At 44.3% G+C, this 25,888-nt stretch overlaps 1 protein-coding gene across 42 annotated transcripts in view, besides 1 other annotated feature; it reads left to right on the top strand.

The window, feature by feature from the left end:
• Positions 1-8,878, top strand: part of TNC (tenascin C) — a 98,583-nt gene extending 89,705 nt beyond the window's left edge. For all 42 annotated transcript variants that reach the window (NM_001439099.1, NM_001439096.1, NM_001439098.1 and 39 more), the window contains 3 exons: positions 1,758-1,919; positions 4,317-4,480; positions 7,186-8,878. In NM_001439099.1, the coding sequence (NP_001426028.1) occupies positions 1,758-1,919; positions 4,317-4,480; positions 7,186-7,296 (437 nt within the window). In that variant the 3' untranslated portion in view covers positions 7,297-8,878. The remainder of the gene's footprint in view (positions 1-1,757; positions 1,920-4,316; positions 4,481-7,185) is intronic.
• Positions 14,173-14,362: an enhancer, noted in NCBI's record as "active region_28881". NCBI's record gives its function as "activates an Ori minimal core promoter by ATAC-STARR-seq in GM12878 lymphoblastoid cells {active_cell/tissue: GM12878}" and the evidence as "EXISTENCE:reporter gene assay evidence [ECO:0000049][PMID:35858748]".

Genomic DNA, 25,888 nt, shown 5'->3' with positions numbered 1-25,888 from the left:
CCAGGTTGTGCTCCAGGTGCTAAGATGGGTTTCTTAGAGCCATAATATTTAACCCCCATAGCACCCCTACAAAGTACTCAATTGCCACCGGGTGGGCAAGGTGTCAGGTGTCAGAAGTGGTTGACTAGTGGGTTGGTAAGACGAATTTACTAACAACAGTATAGGTTTGAAAAAGGAACGTTTATTAGAAAGAAAGAATGCTGCAAAAGGACTTACAGCCCCTGCAGTGGATTTTTCCTTAGGGGTATTTATGGACCTTAAGGCAGGAGCTTAAGGATAATTTGGACCCTATTAGCCATGTAGAACATGATACATGATTACATTTGTAGACATTTTGGTGCCTTAATGTCAGCAAGGGTTGCAAAATGAGTTTTGATATGCATGTATTCCAGAGATGTATAGAAGTTCCAGTTACCTATAAATTTTTGGGAAATAAACCTGGAACCAGATGCTTGCTTGAGATATACGGAAGCCTAATTACCTTTAAATCCCTCAGTTAAGGGGTTTTTGTCTCCGAGTCCTACTTGATGGTCACCAGGTGATTTTTGCTCTCCTCACCACCTCGCATGGATAAAATCACAGCCTCAAAAAGACTGAGTGGTTTGCCCATAGGAGTCTAACCAATGAACAGTTGAGCTGAAATTTGGAATCTCCTAAGTCAACACTACAATCCTATCACCCATCCATTCATCCATGCAATCCACACTTTCCAACCACCTAACTGCAGAGAACATTGTTCTATGCACCACTGCCTACCCCAGAAAATGTTTATCATATTATAATAAACATTTATCTATATTATTCATTGCCCTTCATTTGTAAGGCACTTTACAAAATTTTATTTGTTTGTTTGTTTGTTTGTTTAGACAGAGTTTCACTCTGTCGCCGAGGCTGGAATGCAGTGGTGTGATCTCAGCTCACTGCAACCTCTGCCTCCTGGGTTCAAGCAATTCGCCTGCCTCAGCCCCCCAGGTAGCTGAGATTACAGGCACCCTCCACCATGCCCTCCTAATTTTTGTATATTCAGTAGAGACAGGGTTTCACCATGTTGGCCAGGCTGGTCTCGAACTCCTGACCTCAGATGATCCGCCCACCTTGGCCTCCCAAAGTGTGGGGATTATGGGCGTGAGCCACCGTGCCTGGCCTGTAAGGCACTTTAGAGTTTAAAAAGTACTTTCACCACCTTATCTCCTTGGATCTTCACTAATGCACTGGGAGGTTGGAAGTGGGGCAAAAATGTCAACCCGATTTTACCTGAGCCTAGTATTACTCCAGCAAGCACAAGACTGAGCTTCAAGCACAGGCCTGTGTGATATGGCCCTTTTTTTTTTTTTTTTGCTTTCTGAGATGGAGTCTTGCTCTGTCACCCAGGCTGGAATGCAGTGGCACAATCTCAGCTCTCTGCAACTTCTGCCTCTCGGGTTCAAGCGATTCTCCTGCCTCAGCCTCCCAAGTAGCTGGGACTACAGGCACCCACCACCACACCCAGCTAATTTTTGTATTTTTAGTAGAGACAGGGTTTCGCCATGTTGGCCAGGCTGATAACGAACTCCTGACCTCAAGTGATTCCCACCACCCCCACCCCCACCCCCTCCCACCCCATCTCTGCCTCCCAAAGTGCTGAGATTACAGGCATGAGCCACTGGGCCCAGTTGGCCCTGTCTTAAGTGTACCCAGTTGCCGCTTTTACAGAGTGAAATAGAAATGAGGGCCTCAGTCACCTGTGCTTCTTAGCAACCCTTGCCTGTCATCCACAGGGCTGGACAACCTGAACAAAATCACAGCCCAGGGGCAGTACGAGCTCCGGGTGGACCTGCGGGACCATGGGGAGACAGCCTTTGCTGTCTATGACAAGTTCAGCGTGGGAGATGCCAAGACTCGCTACAAGCTGAAGGTGGAGGGGTACAGTGGGACAGCAGGTACAGTAGTGGCTGCACGTAGAGCCTACAAAGCCATGGAGACCTTCTTGACATTTACAGTTTATTTCTCTAACTTTCATTCCTTCCTCATTAATCCAGCAATTTATTAAATCAACAAATATTTAAGTACCTACTGAGTGCCAATCCAGAAAAACTACAATTCAAAAGTGTTGGGTAGATATTTGGGTCCTGAAACATTGAGTATGTTGGGAATCAGGGCAATCAGGATTGATTTCTAATGACCATCTTTCAAAAAAAGTGTGTCTTTCTTACCCAGTTTTAGATATCAGTTGTAGACTGATTAAAAAAAAAATTCCCCAAAGGCCTTAATATTCATCCAATCCAGCACTTCTCAATTTACTCTGGGTGTATGGACCCACTGGCGATCTTGTGAATCTCCAGATGCTGACACAGGTTGTCTGGGATGGGGCTGAGATTCTGCATCTTCTCCAAGTTCCCTGGTGATGCCAATATAGCTGGTGTTGCTGGTCTGTGGACCACAGCTTGAGTAGCAAACCATCCACTCCATCACCTAGCTGCTTGAATCTCTTCCAAGACATCCCTGCCATGTGGTCATCTAGTCTCAGCCTGCATCCTCATAAATAGAAGGTCTCACCTCTCAAGTGGCCCCTGCATTCCTTGTCTGGCTCATAACCTTCATTCCAGTCTTGAAGATTTCTTGGACTTGAAGTGGTTTTGTGTGGTTTCCTGGCTCCACATAAGAGGAGAAATAAATAAGGAAACAACATGTATTAAGGCCCTACTAGGTACCATCCTCTTTTGTAGATATTCCACCTGCATTCATCTTATTTATTCCTCATAAAACCATTTTATGAAGACGTTGTTTTTATACAGAGGAGGAAAGAAGTTCAGAAGAGCTCAGTGATTTGTCCAAGGTAAAACAGCTTGTAGAAGGTGGATGCAATCCTGGCTGCAGAAAACTGCATCCGACAATGTTCTCAGTGACAAAGAAGGGTCAGGACTGAGAGTGTGGACCACCCCCATGCAACCCATGCCCACTTTGGGTGGCTTTCTGTTATGTTTGTGAGAGCAGAAGAGATAGAAGCTTGGCACGTTTCCAGCCTCCCTGAGCCCTGAAAGAAAACATCCATAAGGTGAAAAGTCTCCAGATAAAAGGTTGCCAAAGCCAGGCTGAGCCTAAGGAGGCACAAAGCTCTTTTGAGATGGCAGTTTAGTGATAATAAAGAGAGACACCCAGGGGCAAACATTGCTTTAGTTCTTGAATCCCTCAAAGAATGTTGGCATTTTATTACCTGGAAATGAATACCTCTTTGGTTGAGATGGCTTCAGGCAAGAAGAAGAATGTTACAGGGCAAGCAAATTCATTAAGCAGCAGGAATGTGGCCTCTGTTCCTCTCTCTTTGTGCTTCCATTGAGGAATGAGCCATAATATTTCCCTTTACTGAGATAACGTTTGTAAGGCTGCATTTTCTTGTGTGATTTGGCTGCACCCAGGCCTTCTGCAGGAGAGCATCCTGTTTCATTAATATCTACGTGCCGTCCTCATGCTCTGGGTAGCATCATCAGTTAAAAAGGTATCTGGGTTCCTTTGACAACTTGCTCCAAATTATGACGGTAGAATGCCTCAGAGTCTTGAAATGTTTGTGCACAGCACTTGTCTGGATTGGGAGTGAGGAGACCCACAAAGCAATGGTACTGAAATGCTTCAAAAATTCAATATATTAAATTACAAATTAGATTTCCAAATAGTAGTACATGTTAATGGGCTTCTTGTCTAAGAATCACGGAACATGGTCTGATGAATACTTTAAAAAGTAACTATGTGATACAGAGACTATTTAGGGACATCTAATGTCTGAAGGGCTTAATTATGACTAATAAATATTTGTATGTGGGAGAAAAGCATGCCATTATTAAATGCATACTTCTCACCTTACTCTCTGAGGTCTTTATAGAAAGGGAATGCAGAAAAGTCATAAAAATAACAATCATAGTAAGTATTTGTATGCCATGCCACCTGTTTAGCATACACCTTTATTGTCACAATGGCACTACTCAGTATATAGAATCAAAGTGCTGGTTCCATTGTATAGATGAGAAAACTGAGGTTCAACAAGATGCTTGACTTGTGCAAGGTCACAGCTAAAAAGTGAAAAGATGGGATTCGAAGCTAGACTCTCCAAAGCCAGCCACAGCCCTCTTCCCACCACATTATGCTGCTTCTGTCGGAAATAAGTACTGGGGTGACACTCATGTCCCATTCAGTTCCGCATTCAATGCTGACTCTGGGATCAATGTTCAAGGCCAGTCCCACACCCAGAACCTTTCAATTGTCACCTCTGGTTCTGCCCTTTACTGTCCAGGAGGGAAATTTCAGCTGAGATTTCTCAGGTCCATATTTTCTGTCTCTCCCAGGTGACTCCATGGCCTACCACAATGGCAGATCCTTCTCCACCTTTGACAAGGACACAGATTCAGCCATCACCAACTGTGCTCTGTCCTACAAAGGGGCTTTCTGGTACAGGAACTGTCACCGTGTCAACCTGATGGGGAGATATGGGGACAATAACCACAGTCAGGTGAGTGGACCGTGAGGGCCCAGAGCAGGCCAAGCTTGGGAAGCTGGAGGGGGCTAATGGAAGTACAATTTAACTCCCTATCCTAGCAGAGACTAGGAGGCAGGAACCTTACTTGTATGACAACATGTTTTTCCCAAGGCAGTGAGCAATCTCAAGGACACTGCAGGCCAGGTAAAATAGAAACAGCACAGGTTAACCCTTGACAGTCCCAAGGACAAACACTGGTCAAATGGATTCCAAAAACAGAACGCTTTACTCAGACAAAATCTCTGTCTGAACCCCAAAAGTAAAGCAGATAAAAGTGGAGGCCATTTAGGTGAAGCAGGGTTGATGACACAGAACCCCTGGCCTGGGGCATCTTTGGAATCCCAAGAACACCTTAAAATGAAGTCCACAGACTTTAAATCTCCTCCTTTTGTGAAGAAACCAAGGCCCAGAAAAAGCTGACTTTCCTGAGGTCACAGAGTGAAGTTGGCAGCAGAGCCAGCTCTCCCCACTTCCAGCCCCTGGCATTTTCCCTGCACCACACACACCTCTAGCACTTCTACAATCACAGAAACAGATTTTTTTCGATCCCTTTTAGAAATAGGCGAACGGATCAAATTCAGTAATCTCCCTTACTCTGAGCCTTGCCTACACTGGCACATTCCTGAAAAGTGTAAAGCTGTGTGGGACTAGCCACTTAATCATAACCAAACCCCTGCCCAGGTCCCTCCACAGAAGTTAGTCACCATCCCTGGGAGGAGGGCTGGATCTTCCCTTGGGGCCACACCACGCTGATCCCTGGACCACAAGGATGCTTATGAGGTCTGCTCACTGGAATCCCAAGGACTTTATAAAAATGCAAAGGGCCAAATTCCACTTTATGATAACCCCAGGGATTCTGATTCAATGATCTCAGGCAAGACACAGCATCTCATTTTTTTTTTTTTTTTGCATATTTGCATTTTTGTTGTTGTGGGGTCAGGGGGGAGGCAGTTGATAGACTCCACAAGCGATTCCTGACATGCAGCAGGTGTTGGGACCTGTTGCTTTTCAATATTAGTCACTTTGATACACATGTTTATGCCCTAATTAACTGCTAGCAAATGACACCTGCGACCTTAAGTGTAGACCTTACCTTACATAATTTCTGGCACTTTTCAAAGCACTGTTACCTTCTGTATCTCAAGGGTTTATCATTTTTACCCTGTGCAGGAATTAGGATGTGGTTTTTCATGCCTGTTTTACAGAGGAGGCAAGAGTCACAGGACATTTCTTGACAGCAGTCCTGTGTTGTTTCCATCTTATTGTGTTATTTCATCAATATTTCCATTCTGAGCATTATTTTATCATCTTTATTGCCTTGTCTCAAAAATACTCGTATAATACAAAGTTCTTCTGGGAAAAGAAAAAAAAAACCAACAAGCTACATGTTAGAAAGCAAGCCTCTCTTTCATCCTTCCATTCAATTATGGAAGAAGAAAGAGATGACATGGAAAGGAGCCACAGGAGGGGAGCCCCAGCTCCAGCTCTGCTCCTCCTGCTGTGTGGCCTCTGCAAAGTCACTCTCCCTCTCTGGCTTTAGTGCCCACCACAGTACAAGAAGGCGTGGCTTCCAACCCTGAACTATCAGAGGAAAGAACCAGGGCAAAGGCAGGCAGCATGTGCACCAAGCTGTTGGACTACCATACTCACTGTAACTGAGTAATTACAAGCGGATTTGCCCATGAAATGAATGAGCCATTCTTAAACCTCACATCCCTGTAAGACTCAGAAACTGCCCATGTCAGTGAATGCCAAACAATTAGAAGCAAATAAAGTGTCTCTATTTTTTTCCCATCTCACTAGCCATTAACTTCCCCACAGTGGGGCAAGGGGCCATGTGGGGTTTCATGGATTGACTCTACCATCTGCAGACTTCGCTGAAGAGTCAAAGTTGAAACCTGGAAGCCAAGACACAGATACAGTTTTTTCTTGTAGAAAGCTTTGGCCAAAATTTCAAGGATATTTCCCCCTACTTGAGACTAGGGAAGTAATATTTACCAAGCACCTACGACGTGCCCAGCTCTGTGATAGCTCCTTTACAAACTCATTTAATCTTCATCTCATCTTTCAAGGCTAACATTATCAGATCTTAAGAAAGAAAAAAAAATAGTAAAACCGAGGCTCAGAAGATATTGAGAACTTAAGACTATTTATCTCTCAAGTAAGAACACTGATATTTAACCCTATATGTCAAATTGTAAAACTGTGTTTTGTTGAGCTGTTCGTTCTGCTATTCCATACCAAACCCCTATCAAAATACTCCATAGGAATCTCGTGAATTACAGACACACACACACACACCATGTATGTAGCTATTCAATTCTAGAACTTCTAATAATGACCTGAACTCCTTCAGAACCTATTCCTAAGGACGGCAGATTTCATCAGCCACCATTTTGCCTCAAGAGGAAAGACCAAAGCTCCATGCAAACTCAGGCGACTCTTGACTCAGGTGAAAAACTGGGTCAGATTCAGCCAGTTCCTTTGAAAGTTTCCACAACCCAGACCAACAGAGAGATAGGCAAGAGGCAGCTGTGATATACCAAATGGTCAAATTGAAACAGAACTCATTTAGTTTGAATGACTAAATAGCAATGATCAGTGAACACCTCGCCTAACAGTAACCAACCTGGAGGCCTTCTCTCTCTCTCTCTCTCTCTCTTTTTTTTTTTTAACAGGGCGTTAACTGGTTCCACTGGAAGGGCCACGAACACTCAATCCAGTTTGCTGAGATGAAGCTGAGACCAAGCAACTTCAGAAATCTTGAAGGCAGGCGCAAACGGGCATAAATTCCAGGGACCACTGGGTGAGAGAGGAATAAGGCCCAGAGCGAGGAAAGGATTTTACCAAAGCATCAATACAACCAGCCCAACCATCGGTCCACACCTGGGCATTTGGTGAGAGTCAAAGCTGACCATGGATCCCTGGGGCCAACGGCAACAGCATGGGCCTCACCTCCTCTGTGATTTCTTTCTTTGCACCAAAGACATCAGTCTCCAACATGTTTCTGTTTTGTTGTTTGATTCAGCAAAAATCTCCCAGTGACAACATCGCAATAGTTTTTTACTTCTCTTAGGTGGCTCTGGGAATGGGAGAGGGGTAGGATGTACAGGGGTAGTTTGTTTTAGAACCAGCCGTATTTTACATGAAGCTGTATAATTAATTGTCATTATTTTTGTTAGCAAAGATTAAATGTGTCATTGGAAGCCATCCCTTTTTTTACATTTCATACAACAGAAACCAGAAAAGCAATACTGTTTCCATTTTAAGGATATGATTAATATTATTAATATAATAATGATGATGATGATGATGAAAACTAAGGATTTTTCAAGAGATCTTTCTTTCCAAAACATTTCTGGACAGTACCTGATTGTATTTTTTTTTTAAATAAAAGCACAAGTACTTTTGAGTTTGTTATTTTGCTTTGAATTGTTGAGTCTGAATTTCACCAAAGCCAATCATTTGAACAAAGCGGGGAATGTTGGGATAGGAAAGGTAAGTAGGGATAGTGGTCAAGTGGGAGGGGTGGAAAGGAGACTAAAGACTGGGAGAGAGGGAAGCACTTTTTTTAAATAAAGTTGAACACACTTGGGAAAAGCTTACAGGCCAGGCCTGTAATCCCAACACTTTGGGAGGCCAAGGTGGGAGGATAGCTTAACCCCAGGAGTTTGAGACCAGCCTGAGCAACATAGTGAGAACTTGTCTCTACAGAAAAAAAAAAAAAAAAAAATTTAATTAGGCAAGCGTGGTAGTGCGCACCTGTCGTCCCAGCTACTCAGGAGGCTGAGGTAGGAAAATCACTGGAGCCCAGGAGTTAGAGGTTACAGTGAGCTATGATCACACTACTGCACTCCAGCCTGGGCAACAGAGGGAGACCCTGTCTCTAAATAAAAAAAGAAAAGAAAAAAAAAGCTTACAACTTGAGATTCAGCATCTTGCTCAGTATTTCCAAGACTAATAGATTATGGTTTAAAAGATGCTTTTATACTCATTTTCTAATGCAACTCCTAGAAACTCTATGATATAGTTGAGGTAAGTATTGTTACCACACATGGGCTAAGATCCCCAGAGGCAGACTGCCTGAGTTCAATTCTTGGCTCCACCATTCCCAAGTTCCCTAACCTCTCTATGCCTCAGTTTCCTCTTCTGTAAAGTAGGGACACTCATACTTCTCATTTCAGAACATTTTTGTGAAGAATAAATTATGTTATCCATTTGAGGCCCTTAGAATGGTACCCGGTGTATATTAAGTGCTAGTACATGTTAGCTATCATCATTATCACTTTATATGAGATGGACTGGGGTTCATAGAAACCCAATGACTTGATTGTGGCTACTACTCAATAAATAATAGAATTTGGATTTAAACCCAGGTCTTCTGGCTCCAATGTTCCTGCTCTTTCCCGGTCCCTTAATGAAAATCTCTCCTTCTTTGGGGAAATGTGTGCTGTGGCAAGAGAGTGAAGGTTGCAGAATGGGATATGGGGGCAGTTCAACTGGATGCTTCCTCAGGCTTCTACAATCCTGAACTCTGAAAACTAGGAAGAATGTCTATTAGGAATATCGCCTTCTCCTCTACACTGCAGTCCCCAAAAAGGGAGCAAGCCCATATTCCTCCAGCCTCAGACTGAACACATCTAGTGATGGGGAACCCATTGCCTGGATGGCAGGTCTGTTAGTCCTCAGCAAATATAGTGAGTCAGAACTGCTCAACGCATAACATTTCTCTTTTTAAACAAGGGTATATGGGGGGAGAGTAATTCCCAGTTCATTCTCTTAGGGATTTTCAGAAAATTGACTTATTTAATAAAATAAGTCAAGTTTGGGCTGATAGGCCTCATTCAAATGGAATGTGATGGCTCTGGAGCAAGGATCAGAGGAATTTATGGTTCCAGCCATATCCTTTGTTGCTGAGTTTATCTTGCTTTAATAAATGCTGTCATGTTAGATACACAATGTGCTGTTCCAGATCATAAGAACGGTTGCATGCAATTCAGCCATAGCAACGCTCTCCTGGCTATATAAATCCAAACAAACGGGCTCCCTGTAGCAACCAGGCCTCGAGTTGGAGGCTTACCTCTCCACTGGCTGCTGACTTGTGAGTCTCTAAACCCAAGTCCTATCTCCTCTCCAGAACTGTAGATGTACTTAATTAAGCTTGAAGGTATTCCCCACAAGCCACACAAGAATCAAATTTGGATTGGTGAAGAAGCCACATCAAACAGGAGTCAGTAATAACCCAAATGGGGACAGGGCAGGCAACCGGGTCTGAGGCCATGGCATTCAAAGACCACAGTCTCTAGTGTGAGCTAATCATTTCTCAAACGTGTCCTTCAGCCTCTGGCTCTGTGGCTTGTTTCAGGAAACCTCTTCCATCTTGAAAGTTCTCTTAAAATTCCACTTCACCCTCAAGACCTGGGCCCTACCCCTGCCCCCATGAAACAGTCAAAATATCTCTATTGGGAAGTAATTTCCAGGGTGTTCGACCTTCCCTTTGTTCCTTCTCTCATCTGCTCCCCTTCTCCCTGCTCTGTGTACTTCAAGGCCACCCTATTTTCATTGCATCAATGACTCCCAGCTTCCAGGTGGATGTCAAAATGGGAAAAGCCAGCAGGACATTGAAGGGAAGAGACTATGAGTGGGGGTGGGTCAGGGCACTTGTTGCCCAGCTCCATCTATACAGCATCACAGTGGGCTGTCAGCATCCACATAAGAGAGCCGTAGCCACTGTCAACTGACTGTCTCCATGCAACTCTCTCTTCAGGTTTAGAAAAGTGCTCTCTCACTTGCCCCTTCTAGCCTAGGAGCAGTCATGGCACCCTAGCTGCTGCTAGACTTGGGGACCTGTGCTAGGCTCTGTGGCTCTCCTCCACCCCCTCTCCTTTAACTCTCCTCAGGGACCCCGGCAGGCTCGCCCACCCCTGGGAGCACTGAGTGCCACTGTTACAGCTGCCTGCTGGCCTTATCCATTATGATTTCTACTTCCTGCCCCTCTTCCTATAGTGATTATTGGTCATTTAATGGCTTCCCAGCATCCAAAGTCCTTTCCAGTTTTAGGAAATTTGAGAACCTTGCCTCCTACCAAGGAAGCCACAGAGGAAAATACTCTTTCCTCCTCCCCTTGATAGCCAGGGCATGGGCACGTAACTTGGGCTTTGCCAATTAGATGCCCACAGAGGGACTTCTAACCTTTAGCAATGAATGCAAAACATAGAGTGTAGGAGACTGGCTCCCCCACAGAATCTAGCACTGAGGCCATCTATCCGTGGGATCTGTGGCCCAGCACCACGCAGGGTATAGCCATATCTCTCTCTAATGGTGACAGTTGTTTCCAGCAGTGACAAAGGCAGACTGGCTGATGATTCCTGCTACCTGGCCTCCTTTGGTTCCTGATAATTTTCTGTGCCTGCTTCTTCAAACTTTCTGTCAGTTTTATGAGCTTCCTGATATCCTTCCAGAAAATTCCTTTTCTGCTTAGGTAGTCCTAGATTATTTCAGGTCCTTGAAGCCAGATACCTTGGCTAATACTTTCCTCCCTAAACCATGAGCCTGTGACATTTATTGACCCTCTTGTAGTCCCAGCACTGTGTTTGACACTTTAAATATCCAAAGTATCCTAAGCATCATAGTCACCTGTGAGACAAATCGAACTATTCCATGTCATGTAGAAAACTAGGCCTCAGAGGGGTCAGGTGGCTTCTCGCAGCCATGCCACTGGGGTCAGACCAAGATTCACAGCCAGGCTGCCTGATTCCAAAATCCAAGTTCTTTTCAGTGAAGATATCTTATTCCTTTCAACAAGCCACACTAACTGGAAAACAGAACTTCATTCTTTTCACAAATGCTTGTGGAGCACCTCCCGTGTGGATTTGTCAGTGAAAAAAAGAGGAAAATATCCCTGTGGTCATAGCGTTTATATTCTAACAAAACACAATGAATGATGAATGTAATAAATGATCAAATTAAATGGTATATTCAAGGGTAATAAGGACAAAGGGGACTAGGGTAAGGGGATAGGGTCACAGTATTCAAAGTAGGGTGGTCACACAGGGTGGGCCTGTGAGAAACCCTCAGGAGGCACAGAAGATGAGCTCAATGAATATTTGTTGCATTGAATTCGTGCTCATCTCTTTCCTTCTGAAGATGGGGAAGCAGCAGTCCAGAGGAGGCTGGGGATCATCCCAGGCACCACAGCAACCAGGCAGGAGATTCTGATGAAAATCCAGGCTGCATACTCCTCTGCAGTGTGGCATGACTGTCTGTTCTCCAGAAGGAGAGACACACCTTGCAGGTTCTTCCTCACTGAGCCTCCTATGACCTGTATGCTCTCAAAACAGCTGGCTACACAGCCCAGTCCTTCCCCATTCTCAGCTTGCCCCACCCAAGCTGGTCTTCCCACCATGCCTTGCCTAAGCCCGGAAAATCCGAGAGCTCCTTGTGGGCTGTCCTCGTCGGTCTCCTTCTAAGATTCTCACTTCTCTTTTCATTTAAAAATCAGTGTTGAGCACCTCCCCGCTTATGCTCAGCACTATGTGAGTGAAACAACCACATTCCCTGCCTCCATGCAGCCTCTGTGCCCCAGAGAGGTCAGTGACAAACACATGATCAGACAAGCAAATGTGTGATTACAAACTGAGGGCTGTGCTTTGGAAGCAAATATAAAAAGCTATGAAGACGTCTAAAGGGGATCTGAGGGGGAAGGCTCTCTGAGGAACAGACATTTGAACCCAGATCCAAAGAGCAAGTAGGAGTTAACCAGGTGAAGGAAGCAGGAGAGGCAGAAGGCAAAAGGCAGGTATCTCTATAGTCCTATGGCTGTCACGCTGTGCACAGAGAAAGCCAGAGGCATAGGTGCAAAAGATGCATTGTGGAAGATGAGGTTTCAGGAGTCAGTAGGAACCCAGCCACGCAGATCTTCCTGGTCCAGAATAAAAATTTTGCTTTTTTTCTTCAGTTCAATGGAAAGCAACTGAGAAGTTTTCAGCAGGAGAGCATTGTGATCACATCTGTTTTTTTAAGCCATCTTTTTTGTTGCATTTGGATTTTGGCTGGGAGGTGCAAAGTGGGAAGAGACCTTTGAGGAGGCTACTGTAGGAATCCAGGTGAAAGGTGATAGAGCCTGGCTAAGTGTGGTGTCGTGGAGACAGAGCTATGGTTCTAAGAGATATTTAGAAAGTAAAATTCATGGGGCTTAGGGTCCCAGAGAGCTCTCTATGTCCCCACCCTTGTTCCTGAGCAGCCCTCAACTCCTATAGTGGATTTTTCCTGGATGTGGGCATCAGTTTTAATTAAGGCAGGCTAGTTAGGGATATGGGAGACTGGATTCAGGGGCCCATTAACTCCTGGAGCACTAGGTTAGGGTGGGGAAGGAATCAGGAAGCCTCCCTCAAGGTGACTGCAGCTAGAAATGAAGACCAGTGGTAAGGCCAAGGGGAGGCTTGTGGATGGACACAAGGGATGACAGTGTGGGGAGCAGAGGTGAGGATGGAGGTAGACCCTTGCCTTGAAGGCTTGGCGTCCTGGAGCCCAGCTGAGAGTTGCCAAGGGTTTTCAGCCCCAGATGGCATCATCAACATTGCTCTTTAGAAAGCCTGCTTCCTCACTAGAGATGCATGTGCCCCTGGCCACCTGTGCCCCCCAGCCTCAATGGGGTACCAGGGGTGCCCTGCATGTGCCTGCTGCCCAGGTTTGGGCTGGCAGGACATATAAGCAACCAGCAGAGGGCTCACTCCCCTCATCCTCCTCCCTCCCTAGGGAACTCCCAGAGGAATTACAATCTCTGTAAAGGAAGTAGAAAAAGGCTTTCTTGAGAATTGTTTCAATCCCACCAGGATGTAACATGGATTTCAACATTTTACAGGAAAATAAAACCACACACATGCAGTCAAAATAAGCAGCTCCGACTGGGCGCAGTACCTCACGCCTGTAATCCCAGCACTTTGGGAGGCTGGGGTGGGCGGATCATTTGAGGTCAGGAGTTCGAGACCAGTCTGGCCAACATGGTGAAACCCCATCTCTACTAAAAATACAAAAATTAGCTGGGCATGGTGGCGCATGCCTGTAATCCCAGCTACTCAGGAGGGTGAGGCAGGAGAATCGCTTGAACCCAAGAGGCAGAGGTTGCAGTGAGCCGAGATAGCACCACTGCACTCCAACCTGGGCAACAGAACGAGACTCTGTCAAGAAAAAAAAAAAAAAAAACAGCTCCCACATTTGCCTAGCACATTTGCCCAGCACATTTGCAATTACAGGTTAAGAAATTGTTTCTCAGAGTAGTGAAATGACTTCCCCCAAGTTCACTCAGCCTCCAAGTGTCAAAGCTGGGTTCTCTGACTCCTTGAGTCACAATGCCTTAAGGAACATCCTTCTGCACAATTATTCTTTCATTCACTCTTCCAATTAGGACACTTGGAGCACCTGCCATTTACTGGTTCCCTCATAACACTTTACAGTTTGCAAAGCCAACGTGTTTATAACAATTTCTTTACAGTCACCATCTTTTTAGTGAGAGCTGAGCTCAAATCCCATGTTTTCCAATTACTGGATCATCTTGGTCTAATTGCTTAATTCTTCTGAGCATCCATCAAAATGATCATGAAGTGTACCTACCCTGATGAGAATCTGTGATAGTTTAAAAGAGAAAACCGACAGCATCTTGCCTGGAGAAAATGCTGTCAACACAGGTTTGTCTCACTAAAAATTGAAAGGCAAACTAAACATTTGGGTAAAAATCCTCAAGTCAACCAGCAGATGGCAGCCTCCACCTGGCTTCGGGAGGGCACTAACCAGGCACTCCTGGTAGATGTGTTGAAGTGGATGGGGCTGATGTCTACCGGACTTCTTAGGCTCATAGACATCTTTAGGTAAACAACTTTGCCTTCATGCTAATCCTTCTCTCAATAAGAGGCTAGAACCCTTCCCAGAAGTGGGAAGGAACTTGGCAGGCCTCCTTTTATGTTCTTGACTCCCCATCTGCTACACAAAAACGAGCACCCTCACCCTACCACCTCACTGATCACCTCTTGCAGGTGTACACTGGGGTGGGGGGACAGGAACATGAGACACAGGGAGTTTCTGGCCTTTGTCCAGTCTCCATTCAGGTTTGGCAAGGACCACCAACCGTTGTCTAACATGTTTAATGCCTCCATTGTATCCATGTCCCATCACTCATTCACCTGATTTGACAGCACCGTATTGTTGGTTGTGAAGGCCCAACATGCACATTTTTTGTTGTTCTGTGCTTGTCCCTTTGGCTTGTTTCTGGCCCCTTAGCAAGAAGGCTTTGATCCTCCTGCCCTGACACTTAACTCACTAGCACAGGGTGAGGCACATCTAAAAATGTGGACTTGTTCCTGTTGCTGTTGCTGTTGCTGTTGTTTTCCTTTACATCTCTGAAGCCTGGTTTAGGTGATGATCCCTGTGGATTATTCTAAGCAGCTTGGGCAATGTTGAGAATAAAGTCAAGGGCCTTGTGTCCCCAGCACTTGCCTCCTAGAGCCAGTCTATGACCCCAAAGAGCTGTAGAGCGGTCCTGTAGGAACACTGAGCTGTGGTCTACTACTCCACTGCTGAACCCCTCCAATGCCGGCCTTACGGCTCAGAGGAAAGTAGCCTGAGACATCACAGTAGCCTTCAAGGCCTATATTCCCTGACCTCAACCCCCCTCTCATGATACTCTAGACACGCTGCCTCCCTGCTGTTTCAAACCCAGCAAGCGCACTCCCACAGCAAACCCTTCTCCTGGAATGCTCTTTCCTCTAACACATGCATGGCTCACTCATTTCTTTCAGCCATCTCCAATGTTATCTTCTCAGCGAGACCATCCTCATCATCCTACATAAACACACACACATCACACCTATATGTGCAAGATCACACATGCACACACAAACAACCCTCCCCATTCCCAGTACTCATAGTGCATTTTCCACCTGACACAGTACTGGCTTACCTATGTATGTGCATGCTTTCTAGGAGTCAAGCTCCATGACAGCAGGCACTTTGTATGTTTCCCCCTGCCGTGGCCCTAGCACCCAGAACAGAGCCTGTTCTATTATTTCTCAATCATTACGTGTTGACTGAATATATGACCTAAGAGGAGAATGCAGCCATCTGTAGCCTCACTTATTGTCTATTCAATTTGTTGAGTGCCAACTATATTCCCAGATCATCATTTTAAAGCTGACACAAACTCAGAAAGGAAGTGATTTTCCTGAAGCCACCAGGTAATCATTGTAGATTTGAATTCAGTTCTCACTCACCCCACACCATGACCTCAACAGATAGGAACCTAAGAATGTAATTTAAAGAAACAGCAAAGGAATTGTTCTACTAAGAACTAACAGAGGCAGCCTCTCCTAAGGAAGGACGAGTTAATGGGCAGAGATTGTTTGACAATTGAGAGATCCAGCAGGATATTTAGAGAAAAAAAAAAACCATAAATATCGGTCATTTCAAAAACAGAACCTGTTATATTTCCAACCAGAATAACTTCTCCAGAGACTTCATACGTGGTCTCTTGGAGAGCATTCTCTCAATTTAGGACAGAGGTCCTTACACTGAGAATCACCATTTCTCATGGATCAGTGGGAAAGGGGGCAAAATTAATTGACCTTTCAAGCCTTTGATTTACCATCTTTAACTAAAATAGATTACTCAGATGATGGGGGCAGAGAGCAAGGGGGAATTTCCCAGGTATGGTAGGAGCGTAGCTACACTGGATTCACTTGATTATGCTCTCAACAGCTTCTCCAATAAAGGCCTCTGTTTCCCAGTGTAAAATGAAGCTTTGCTTATCCCCAGAGGCATCGGCTTTTCATGTATTTTTCTGCCACCAGGGCTTTCTGAGTAGCCAGCAAAGAACAAGGCAGAGCAGATCTTCTGGGTGTGAAAGTGGTTTGGGAAAGAGACACAGTAGACCCAGCTCAGCAGGAGCTGAGGATCACTCTCCACCTGGACACCCTTCAGGTGAGCATCAGAGTCAGATTTGAAAATGTGTCTCCACCAAAAAGCCACATTCAAAGGTATCAAAGAGCCTTCAGCTCAGTGCTCATCTTTCTTTTGCAAGTCTCGGTTAGCTCCAGAGCAGGCTGCGGTGTTCAGCACTCCATCTCCAATGCTGCATCCCCAATGCATAGCACTTGAACATAGTAGTTGCACAATTAAGATCTCTATATTAAGAAATAAATTTATAATAGCTGCCTGGAGGTTATTGGAAAGGATTCAGAGGTCACGACCAGGCTACCAGGAAAGAAGTTTCCATTCAATTAATAGATGTGTCTTACTAATATATTTATCATCCTTAGAATGAAGCATATTTAGACCACCAGGATAGTGAGACAACCAGAAACTCCACCTCTTTAGAAAAAAAATGGAATAATAAGCAGGGACATAGTCTCTGTCTTAAAATCTCTGCACATCTGTCATGGAGAGGAGAGAACAGACATACTCTATTGTGTGACAGAGAAGAACTAGAATCTGATGATGAAATCTGTAAGGGAACAAACTGCACTCCAATAAGAAAAGAACTTTGAATAACCAAAGCCATCCAAAGAACAAACAAGCTGTTATAGAAGTGATACTGGAAGATATTGGAAGAACTCTAGGTCTTGGGGGTGGTTCAGACATTCAATAAAGTGGTATTGTAATATTCCCTCCAGCCCTAAAGTGTGCTTACCTCTTGTCGAGTTAGTTGTTGCATGAAAGCTGTCAAAAAACGTTTCTATTCCAGGTTTTCAGTCTCCAGCCTGAGTTTCAAATGCCACAAAAGGAAGGACAATCATGAAAGAGTCAAGACATCACAAAACACAGATGTTATTCTTAAGAAGATGACTCCTGGGGGAGACAGAAAGGAGAATAAACACAGAAGTGCTGACTGTTCCCCTGCACAGGCAGAGTCCTTCCCTCAGGGAACATGCTGGTAAGGATCCATAATTGCAAGTTGACAAAACCCTAAGCCTTCTAAAAATTCCAGGTTTAATTAGTTTCTCCAAAGCAAGCTCCTTACTGGAAAAGAAATCTGCAGCCTCGGCCATGTTACATTGCAGGAGAATATCACTGCCTCCTGGATCAGGATAATTTCTGCAAGAGATTGCTCCAGGCAAAACTTCACTTTTAGGTGAGACTGTCTAAACTTTACTTAGAAAGTTACAAGAGTCTTGCTCAAAGACTTCATCCCTGTAAAGGAGACCTTTAGTGTAAAAAGAGATATGATGTTTTAATAGCATTCAGCCTCCAGCCTCAGTCACCACTGAATCCTTTTCTTTTTTCCCACATAATTCCCAAGGGCATTCAATTGACATTTAAATAGCTGGATGTATATCATGTAACACATGTCTTCAAAACCAAGGCTTGAGATTGGGTTATACCTAAGACTTCTGGGCATGGAGTCAGGAAATTGCCTCTTTGACCAGATTGAGGGTGTGTTGGAGGCAGGAATCATTCCTTAGCATTTTTTGTATCAGCAGTACATGGCAAAGATGATAGCAATATGCAAAATCAATGAATGAATCAATTGATGGATGGTTTGAAGTCCTGGTTTTGCTATGAAAGTAGCCATGTGACTTTGCTCACATTACACAATGTCTCTGAGATACAAATTTTGTCATATGTAAATCAGAAATAATAATAACTATTTCATATGATTGCAACAAATGCAGTGGTGTATATAAAGTGTCCCAGTCTGTGTCTGGCATATAATTGGTGCCCAGTAAATTGTATCTCCCTTGACTCTCTACAGACATCCTTCACACAAAGTAAATGATCAATAACCATTTGACTGGCTGCTTAACAAGTGGAACTAATACAAATGCTCTCAGTTAATTTAGGAGGAAGAGCAGACAGATAGATCAAGTGCTTTATGGAGGAGTTTGAGGACAGAGGGAAGGAAGCAAATGTAAGACTTAAGTACATCCCTGCTAAGTATGAGATAGCACTCTGCAGCCAACACTTGTATTTGTCTTTCATTTATACCATGATTTCTACTTTGGTTATTTGCATTCCATAAGGCAAAGTCCTTGATCTTCCAGAGGTTCACATCTTTAACAGCTCTTCATAGTAAAGCTAAACAAGGAGATACAATAAAATGTATTCAAAGTCATTTATACTTAAGGGAACCACGTGGTAGATTCCTACGGCATCTGCCCCACCAAGCCCCCAAAGAATTTATTTCTGAAAATGAATGTATTTGATGCTGTAATCAGGAAATGAAATATGTGTCAACCAGCTTCTTTAGCTGCAGGGTAAGTAAGGACGAACTCATTGGCCACTTATTCCAATCATCACATTTATGTCTATGGCATAATTTGTTCTAGTTTCTTCCACTGGTCTCTGTTCTCTTTTTCTTCCCAATGATTGAACACTGCTTTCTCTTTAATCCATAAACCATTGCAAGTCCTTCTGCAAAAACGTACTATAGAAGAATATTAAAAACATGAAATTGCTTACAGATTACCACTTTTAAAAAGATATGTGACTTCTTTTCCTCAGATTCACCATCTTTAAATGCATGCTGATGCTAAAAATAATAACATCAAACACTTATCACAGTTTCTGGCATATGCCAGCACTTTTATAAGTGTTTCTCATGTAAAAACTCACTTAATCCTCACAAAAATCATATCAGGCAAGTAGTATTATAATCTCCATTATACAAAGAAGGAAACTGTGACACAGAGAGGTTAGTTAATTTTAAAACTACATCATTGAGGACGTGCACCACTTAATACAATTAGGATTAAAATGGAGCGCTTTCATTTAGAACCCCATTATCTTGGAGCTGTGAAGATGGCTATGAGCGTAATCAATACACTGTTAATGGTGCAAAAAGTCAGCCCACACAGTCTGGATGCCTACAGTAATGATAAGGAGTAAATCCCATTTTCCTTCTATCATGGAAATTCCACCATCAGAAACTGCAGAACCTGACCGCAGCAAGAAAAAAAGCTGAGAAGAGAGATCATTTCATGTTGCAATTCTGCTTGAAGGAGAAACAAACCTACAGGATGAAAGGACAAGCAACCTAATGTCTTCTCTGCCTACAAGCCAGGCACATCATTCTGCAGACTTCTCCTGAAGAATGGAGATTTTTTTTTTTCTGCAGCATGGGGGAATTGAGACAGGGATTATGAGGTCACTGTAAAGGGAAACCTGCAGCCTCAGCTCCTGACCACAGTCTGGAGAGTGACTCACACTGTATTCAGCCGAGTAGGTCTTGCTGAGCTGGCCTGATGGAGAAAAGGCTCTCTCACTAGCAGCTTGGAAACTAGTCCACAGAAGGCATACCCTGCTGTTCTCCAGTCTGGAGTCTCCCAAATCCCAGGGGCCACTGAAAGCTGCATACGAAGTGTCTACAGAAGCCATTTTTCTTTGCAGCAAGACTCAGAAGAGCCTATTTCCAGGTCCGAGAATCTCGCTGCCTTCAGAGTTTGGAAACAAACTGCAAGCAGATGGACATATATCTTCATTGAGGTGTGTAAGGAAGTGGTCACTTCTCCTATCCTTCCATGGCCACACTGAGGGAGCAAAACCCCATACAGAGAAGCGCTGTTACATAGGCCTAAACCGGGACCAGAAGATGCATCTTTTCCATTCCCAAGAGAGCTTCCTATCAGCCCAACATTGTCTGCAAATAACACTGAGCTGTCTGGTCGTCTCATGATTTGCTCCCCTCACCTCTTGACGTCTTCTACTCTAACATCTGATAATCAACCAAAGCTTTAGCACTCCTTTTACACCTGCTAACTGGACTGGCATTGGCATCTTATACCTCTTTTTTCTTTTCTTTTTTTTTTTTTTTTTTGAGATGGAGTTTCGCTCTGTCACCCAGGCTGGAGTGCAATGGTGCAATCTCGGCTCACTGCAACCTCTGCCTCCCAGGTTCAAGCAATTCTCCTGCCTCAGCCTCCGGCGTACCTGGGATTACAGGGGCCCGCCACCACATCTGGCTAATTTTTTTTGGATTTTTAGTAGAGACAGGGTTTCACCATGTTGGCCAGGCTAGTCTTGAACTCCTGACCTCAGGTGATCCACCCACCTTGGCCTCCCAAAGTGCTGGGATTACAAGAATGAGCCACCGCACCCGGTTCCTCTTTTTACATAATGACCCCAGCCCAAGTCTGGTGTGTGTCTTGTTTAAACCTATCCCAAGACCTAGATACATATGTGGGCTGGTAGATTTTAAGCATCACTAGCTAGGATGCTAGAAAAGGGTCACAGGAATGAAATTGCTTGGGATGGAGTAACCACAGGTAGGCACCTTCAAATAGGAGGTCAAGAAAGACCTCTCTGAAAAGGCAACATGATCCTAGACCTTCAATGTGGTCCGTGGCATAGTTCATGCACAAAGCCTGGCGAGGAAGCAGCTTGCTGAGTAAAACGGCTTCTGCTGACATTTTTGTGTTCATATCATCTCTGATTTCAGAGCTGATGCAGTGGTCAGGTTCTCCTGCAAGCATGTGCCTCTAAGGCTCTCCACTTCTCTGCCTTAGGGCTTTCTCAAGAGTATGGGAAGCCCACTCAGATCTGAGCCAGAAATATTTTCAAAGTGGAACGTCAGCTAGTGAGGGAGAAGACCAGTGGATAAATGTCCCAGGCTCCTACAGGACAATTCAGAAGGGGCCTCATGGGGATCCACGGTTGCCCAGAGCAGGAACTAATTAAGTATAGCACATATTGGCTTTTCCTCCCTCCCTGTCTTACCCTCACTCCTGGTCCCTCACCCCTATATCCTGGGGGCACCTCCCAAGCCCTTGTCTCAGGCTCTTCTTTAGGCCTAACGAGCTGAGGCAGAAGCTCACTGTGGTTACATAGTGAGAACCAGGAAATCCATAGGAGACCAAATCAGTTAGGTCTATGTGGGCCAAACAGTGAACAGCTTCAGGAAAAGCTTTACATTTCAGTCCTCTGTACCCAGGCAGTCAGGTGATGGAGCCTACCATGGGAAGCCAGCAGACAGGGTTGGGGAGTGCTGGAGGCGGCATAGGTTCTGGCCTCACCAGGGCTACATAGTCTTTAGACGTCAACTAAGATGACTAAGGCTCAGGGCAGGAATTGGGACTGGCAGGAAAGGGACACTGAGCCAGAAGGCTGCTCATAGAAACAGGGCCAACAGGGAAGCCACAAGATGCAGGTCTGACTCAACCATTATGCAAGCACCCAGAACTCATCTCTAGCACATTGGATATGGCATGAAAATAACCGCAACTTTCCTGAATGCTGTCTATTTACAGTCAGTCTGCTAAGCAGTTTTCATAATGAGCTCACTTAGACTTCAAAACTACCTTATAAGTTATTCTCCCCATTTATAGATGAGGAAAGTGAGGCCACTAAACACTAGAATGAAGGTTTAATCCAGAGTTACTGGATTCCAAATTCCATGCTCAAGACAACCAACTACCCTGCCAGGGTCTGATGGTGCTGCAGCCAAGGTTCAAGGTCAATGACTGACCCCCAAGATATAAGCTTGATGGCTGAAGGTGGGAGGGCCTGGGAAAGGTAGGAACTGACCCTCAGTGTCAAAGTGCACACACGACATGGGTCCACCGGCACCGCCTGAAAGGAGATATTTCCTGTGCCACAGACTAAGTCCTGACAGGACACATTACAGCTGTCTTCCCATTTATGAGGAATGTTTCTCAAATTTGTCTTCTACTTTCAAAGCTGTAAGGGAAAGGACCCCAGGTAGGGGCAAGCAGGATGCTTGGCTACATGTCATGTAAAAAAGAAACCACAGCCATCCTTATATTTGCACAGTATGCACCCATTTACAAAAACAATTCTAGCACCTGAACTCACAACCCTAGGGGTGGGCAGAGCAGGCTATATAATTCCCACTTCAGAGAGGAGCAACCTGAGGAGCAGAGATGTTGAAAGGCAGGACGGTGTGGTAGAAATACCAGTCACTGGACATGAAACCAGGAATGCCTGCTCTAGTCTAAGCTCTGCCCCAGACTCGCCTGGACTAACCATGGGCTTCCTATACCCGCTGGTGCTGACTTTATGTACTGGGTGTTGGAGAGGGAAGAGTCCAAAGATGGAAAGAGCACTCCTGAACAACTGCACAGAGCAGAGATCAAACACAACAGAAGCAATGAGCAAACAATACATTTTTATAGTGGTACGCCATTGAGCTTATGGAGCTGTTTGCTACAGCAGTAAGCCTGCCCTGACTAATATATTCCTTCTGCAGTCAAGCCTGCTTTCTCCTCTGACTTTAGTCCAGCAAATTCAGAATCTCCTTTGGAGATTATATCCAGTGCTTTCCAAGCTGGATTTCACTGATAGAATGTTCCTTGGTTCCCGGACCCTGATCCTTGTTCAGTCTCTTCTCTATTACTCTGAATATCAGTGAGAAGGCAAACCCATACATTACCTAGTTCTCCTCCCTGTCGGAGGAGAGCCACTTCCATCAGATAATCTAAAAGACTGATCACAGGGCACCAGACCCAGTCCCAGGAGACCCGGGGCTGACTCAGCTTCTAATGCAATTTGTCTCCTTATCCATGTGCCATCCACTCCATCTCTAAAATGAAGAGGTTGGCCTCACTTATACCAAAGCATCCTGCTAACATTTTAGGATTCTAACACGTAGATTCAAAGCACAAGAGAGAAGGATGTGAGTTAATTAGTCAAAGCTGTGGGATAATTAATGAAGGTAATTTCCCCAGACTCTGAGGGGAAAAAAATTATATCGAAGGGGAGAGAATTGTTCAAGCTGATGTCATGTTTATGAAGGCAAAAGATCAGAATGTTTCCACAGCACACGTCCGATGGTTTGAGAGGGAGCAAATGAGAATGGAGAGGCCATAGGTGCTGGATTTGGGCAGGTCTGGGTTCATTTCTCACCCTTACTCCTTACTGGCCGTGTCTTACTCTGTCACCTAGGCTGGAGTGCAGTGGCATGATCTTGGCTCACTGCAACCTCTGCCTCCTGGGTTCAAGTGATTCTCCTGGCTCAGCCTCCTGAGTAGCTGGAACTACAGGCGCACACCACCATGCCCGCTTAATTTTTTTTTTTTTTTTTTTTGGTATTTTTAGTAGAGACAAGGTTTCAACATGTTGGCCAGGCTTGTCTCGACCTCCTGACCTCGAGTGATCTGTCTGCCTCAGCTTCCCAAATGTTTCACCTTTCTAAGCCTCAGTTTCATCACTTGTAAAGTGGTACATCTCAGAAACTTGTGGTCATTAAATGCAATCCTGTGAGTAATGCACATGGTAAGTTGCAGAAGGGAATTCCCTTTACTCTCATCATGCCAGGGTGAGGATGAATCTATTTTGTGAAACAGAGGGAGGGATGCAGGCATCTCATTTTTGCTTGTGTTTATTCATTTACTTCAAAATCATATGTCAGACACTGGTAATACAGAGATGAATAAAACATGGCCCCTGATCTCAAGGAACTCAGTGTCTAGGTGGACAGACAGGGGCACACACAAATTATTGAGCTCCTAGTGTGATAACTACCTCATACGAGTATGAGAAAGCCAGGCTTTCCCATTCCAGAAGCATACCAAAGGTAGACACATACAGATGTTCATAGAAACATATACAGAGATGTCCACAAGAATTCCAGCTATAAATTATAAGCAATTGAAAAAAATCAAATGTCCATCAAAAGGAGAGCAAATAAAATGTAGCAGATGAATAACTAGAATCATTAACATGTAGTCTTTAAAGCTAAGATTAAGTGAAAATGCAGTGATCAAATTATATACAGTTGGATACCATTTAATTAAATTTGAAACACACAAAATGTTTTGTATTTTTCATAGATGCATGCATTAGTGTGATTTGTGTGCAAAAAGCTATATATTTTTAATGGACTAGAATCCACATCAAATTATGAACCTGGTTGTTTCTGGGAAAGGTAGAAGGAAAATGAGTCCAGGGATCATAGTCAAAGGAAACAGTATTTTCATCTGCAATGTTTTCCTGATGTTTTTAAACATCAGAAGAAAATACGATAAGGCTAGAAGGAAATATGATAAGATCCTAACATTTGTTAATTTGGATAGTGGCAATATGTGTGATTGATCGTATTATGAATGCTCTTCTGTATTTTTTATAAGTTTCTCAAAATAAAAGTTAGAAAGTATAGCAGTGGGTCATACAAAGAAGTGAAAGTGTCCTTCACCTGTTAGCCTAAGTTGACCTTAAGGAAACCTCAGAAGGCCCTGGCTAGAGAACAGGATCGAGGCAGGTTAGCCAGTGGTGATGAAGGCTCTTGGGGACTGTCAGTTCACCGCAATGACACTGTACAGGAGACAGCACAGTTTGAAGTTACACAGACCTGATTTTCAAACTTCTGTATTTACCACTTACCACTGCGACAAGTTCACAAGTGTACCCACACTTCAACTCTGATATATATTGCTTTGTCTAATGAATCTAAGTCTTCATTTCAGTTAGCAGATAAAGTGTAGACTTTAAATTCTATACGGTTTGGCCAGGTGCGATGGCTCACGCCTATAATCCCAGCACTTTGGGAGTCCAAGTCGGAAGGATTGCTCAAGCCCAGGAGTTTGAGAGCAGCCTGGGCAAGACCTCCTCTCTACTGAAAATAAAAAAATATAAAATAACTGGACTTGGTGGCATGCATCTGTAGTCCCAGCTACTTGGGAGGCTGAGGCAGGAGGATCACTTGAGCCCAACAGATCAAGGCTTGTAGTGAGCTGCGATAACGCATTGCACTCCAGCCTGGGTGAAAGAGTGAGATCCTGTCTCAAAAATAAAAATTTTGTGACAAAAATAAAAAAATGAATTCTGTGTAGTTTATTCTTAGTTTGAGCCAATAATTTTAAATAGTCCCTTTAGGAACTTTTTAGTCTCTCTAGAAAAAAAAAAAAAAAAGTCCAATCTTTATGGTTTTTCTTCCGGCCGTCACCAGCTCCTCTCCTTGGTGCCTTCTGTGTGTTGGAGCCCTGAGTCACAGAGCCTGTTGAATGCTGGTGTCAGAAGGAACACTGTTGACCTATTTGCATCTGCCCTGCTAGTGTTTGCGTGTTTGCAACCGAAGTCTTTGGCAGATGAAACTTGGAGTCTGCTGTCTCTTTTTGGGCAAAGTCCAGGTGCTCCCTGGCTAACTCAGCCACACTACTTCCAGACCTTTCTGGGGACTTTCCATGGATCCATTCAGCCTCAGGTCAGATGGTTTGTTGTCTGTGCAGCCTTCACTACAGAGCCACTTTGGCCCTGCTATGGTGAGACCCTCTAATGAGCATCATACTCCCTAGAAGCTCTCAGCTGCTTCTAGGTCTTGTCCATGGCACACAGGAACCAAGAACAGTTTGAGAAAGCTAAACTGCTGAGACTTTCTTGGATTGGCAGACACTACACCGCCATGTTCTCTGGGGGAGCTGCCTGATATTACTGCAGCGTCCT

Source organism: Homo sapiens, chromosome 9, assembly GCF_000001405.40.
Source record: "Homo sapiens chromosome 9, GRCh38.p14 Primary Assembly".
In the NCBI taxonomy this organism is placed as follows: Eukaryota; Metazoa; Chordata; class Mammalia; order Primates; family Hominidae; genus Homo; species Homo sapiens.
The sequence above is the reverse complement of the archived record's forward strand: the minus strand, read 5'-3'. Positions and strand labels throughout refer to the sequence as shown.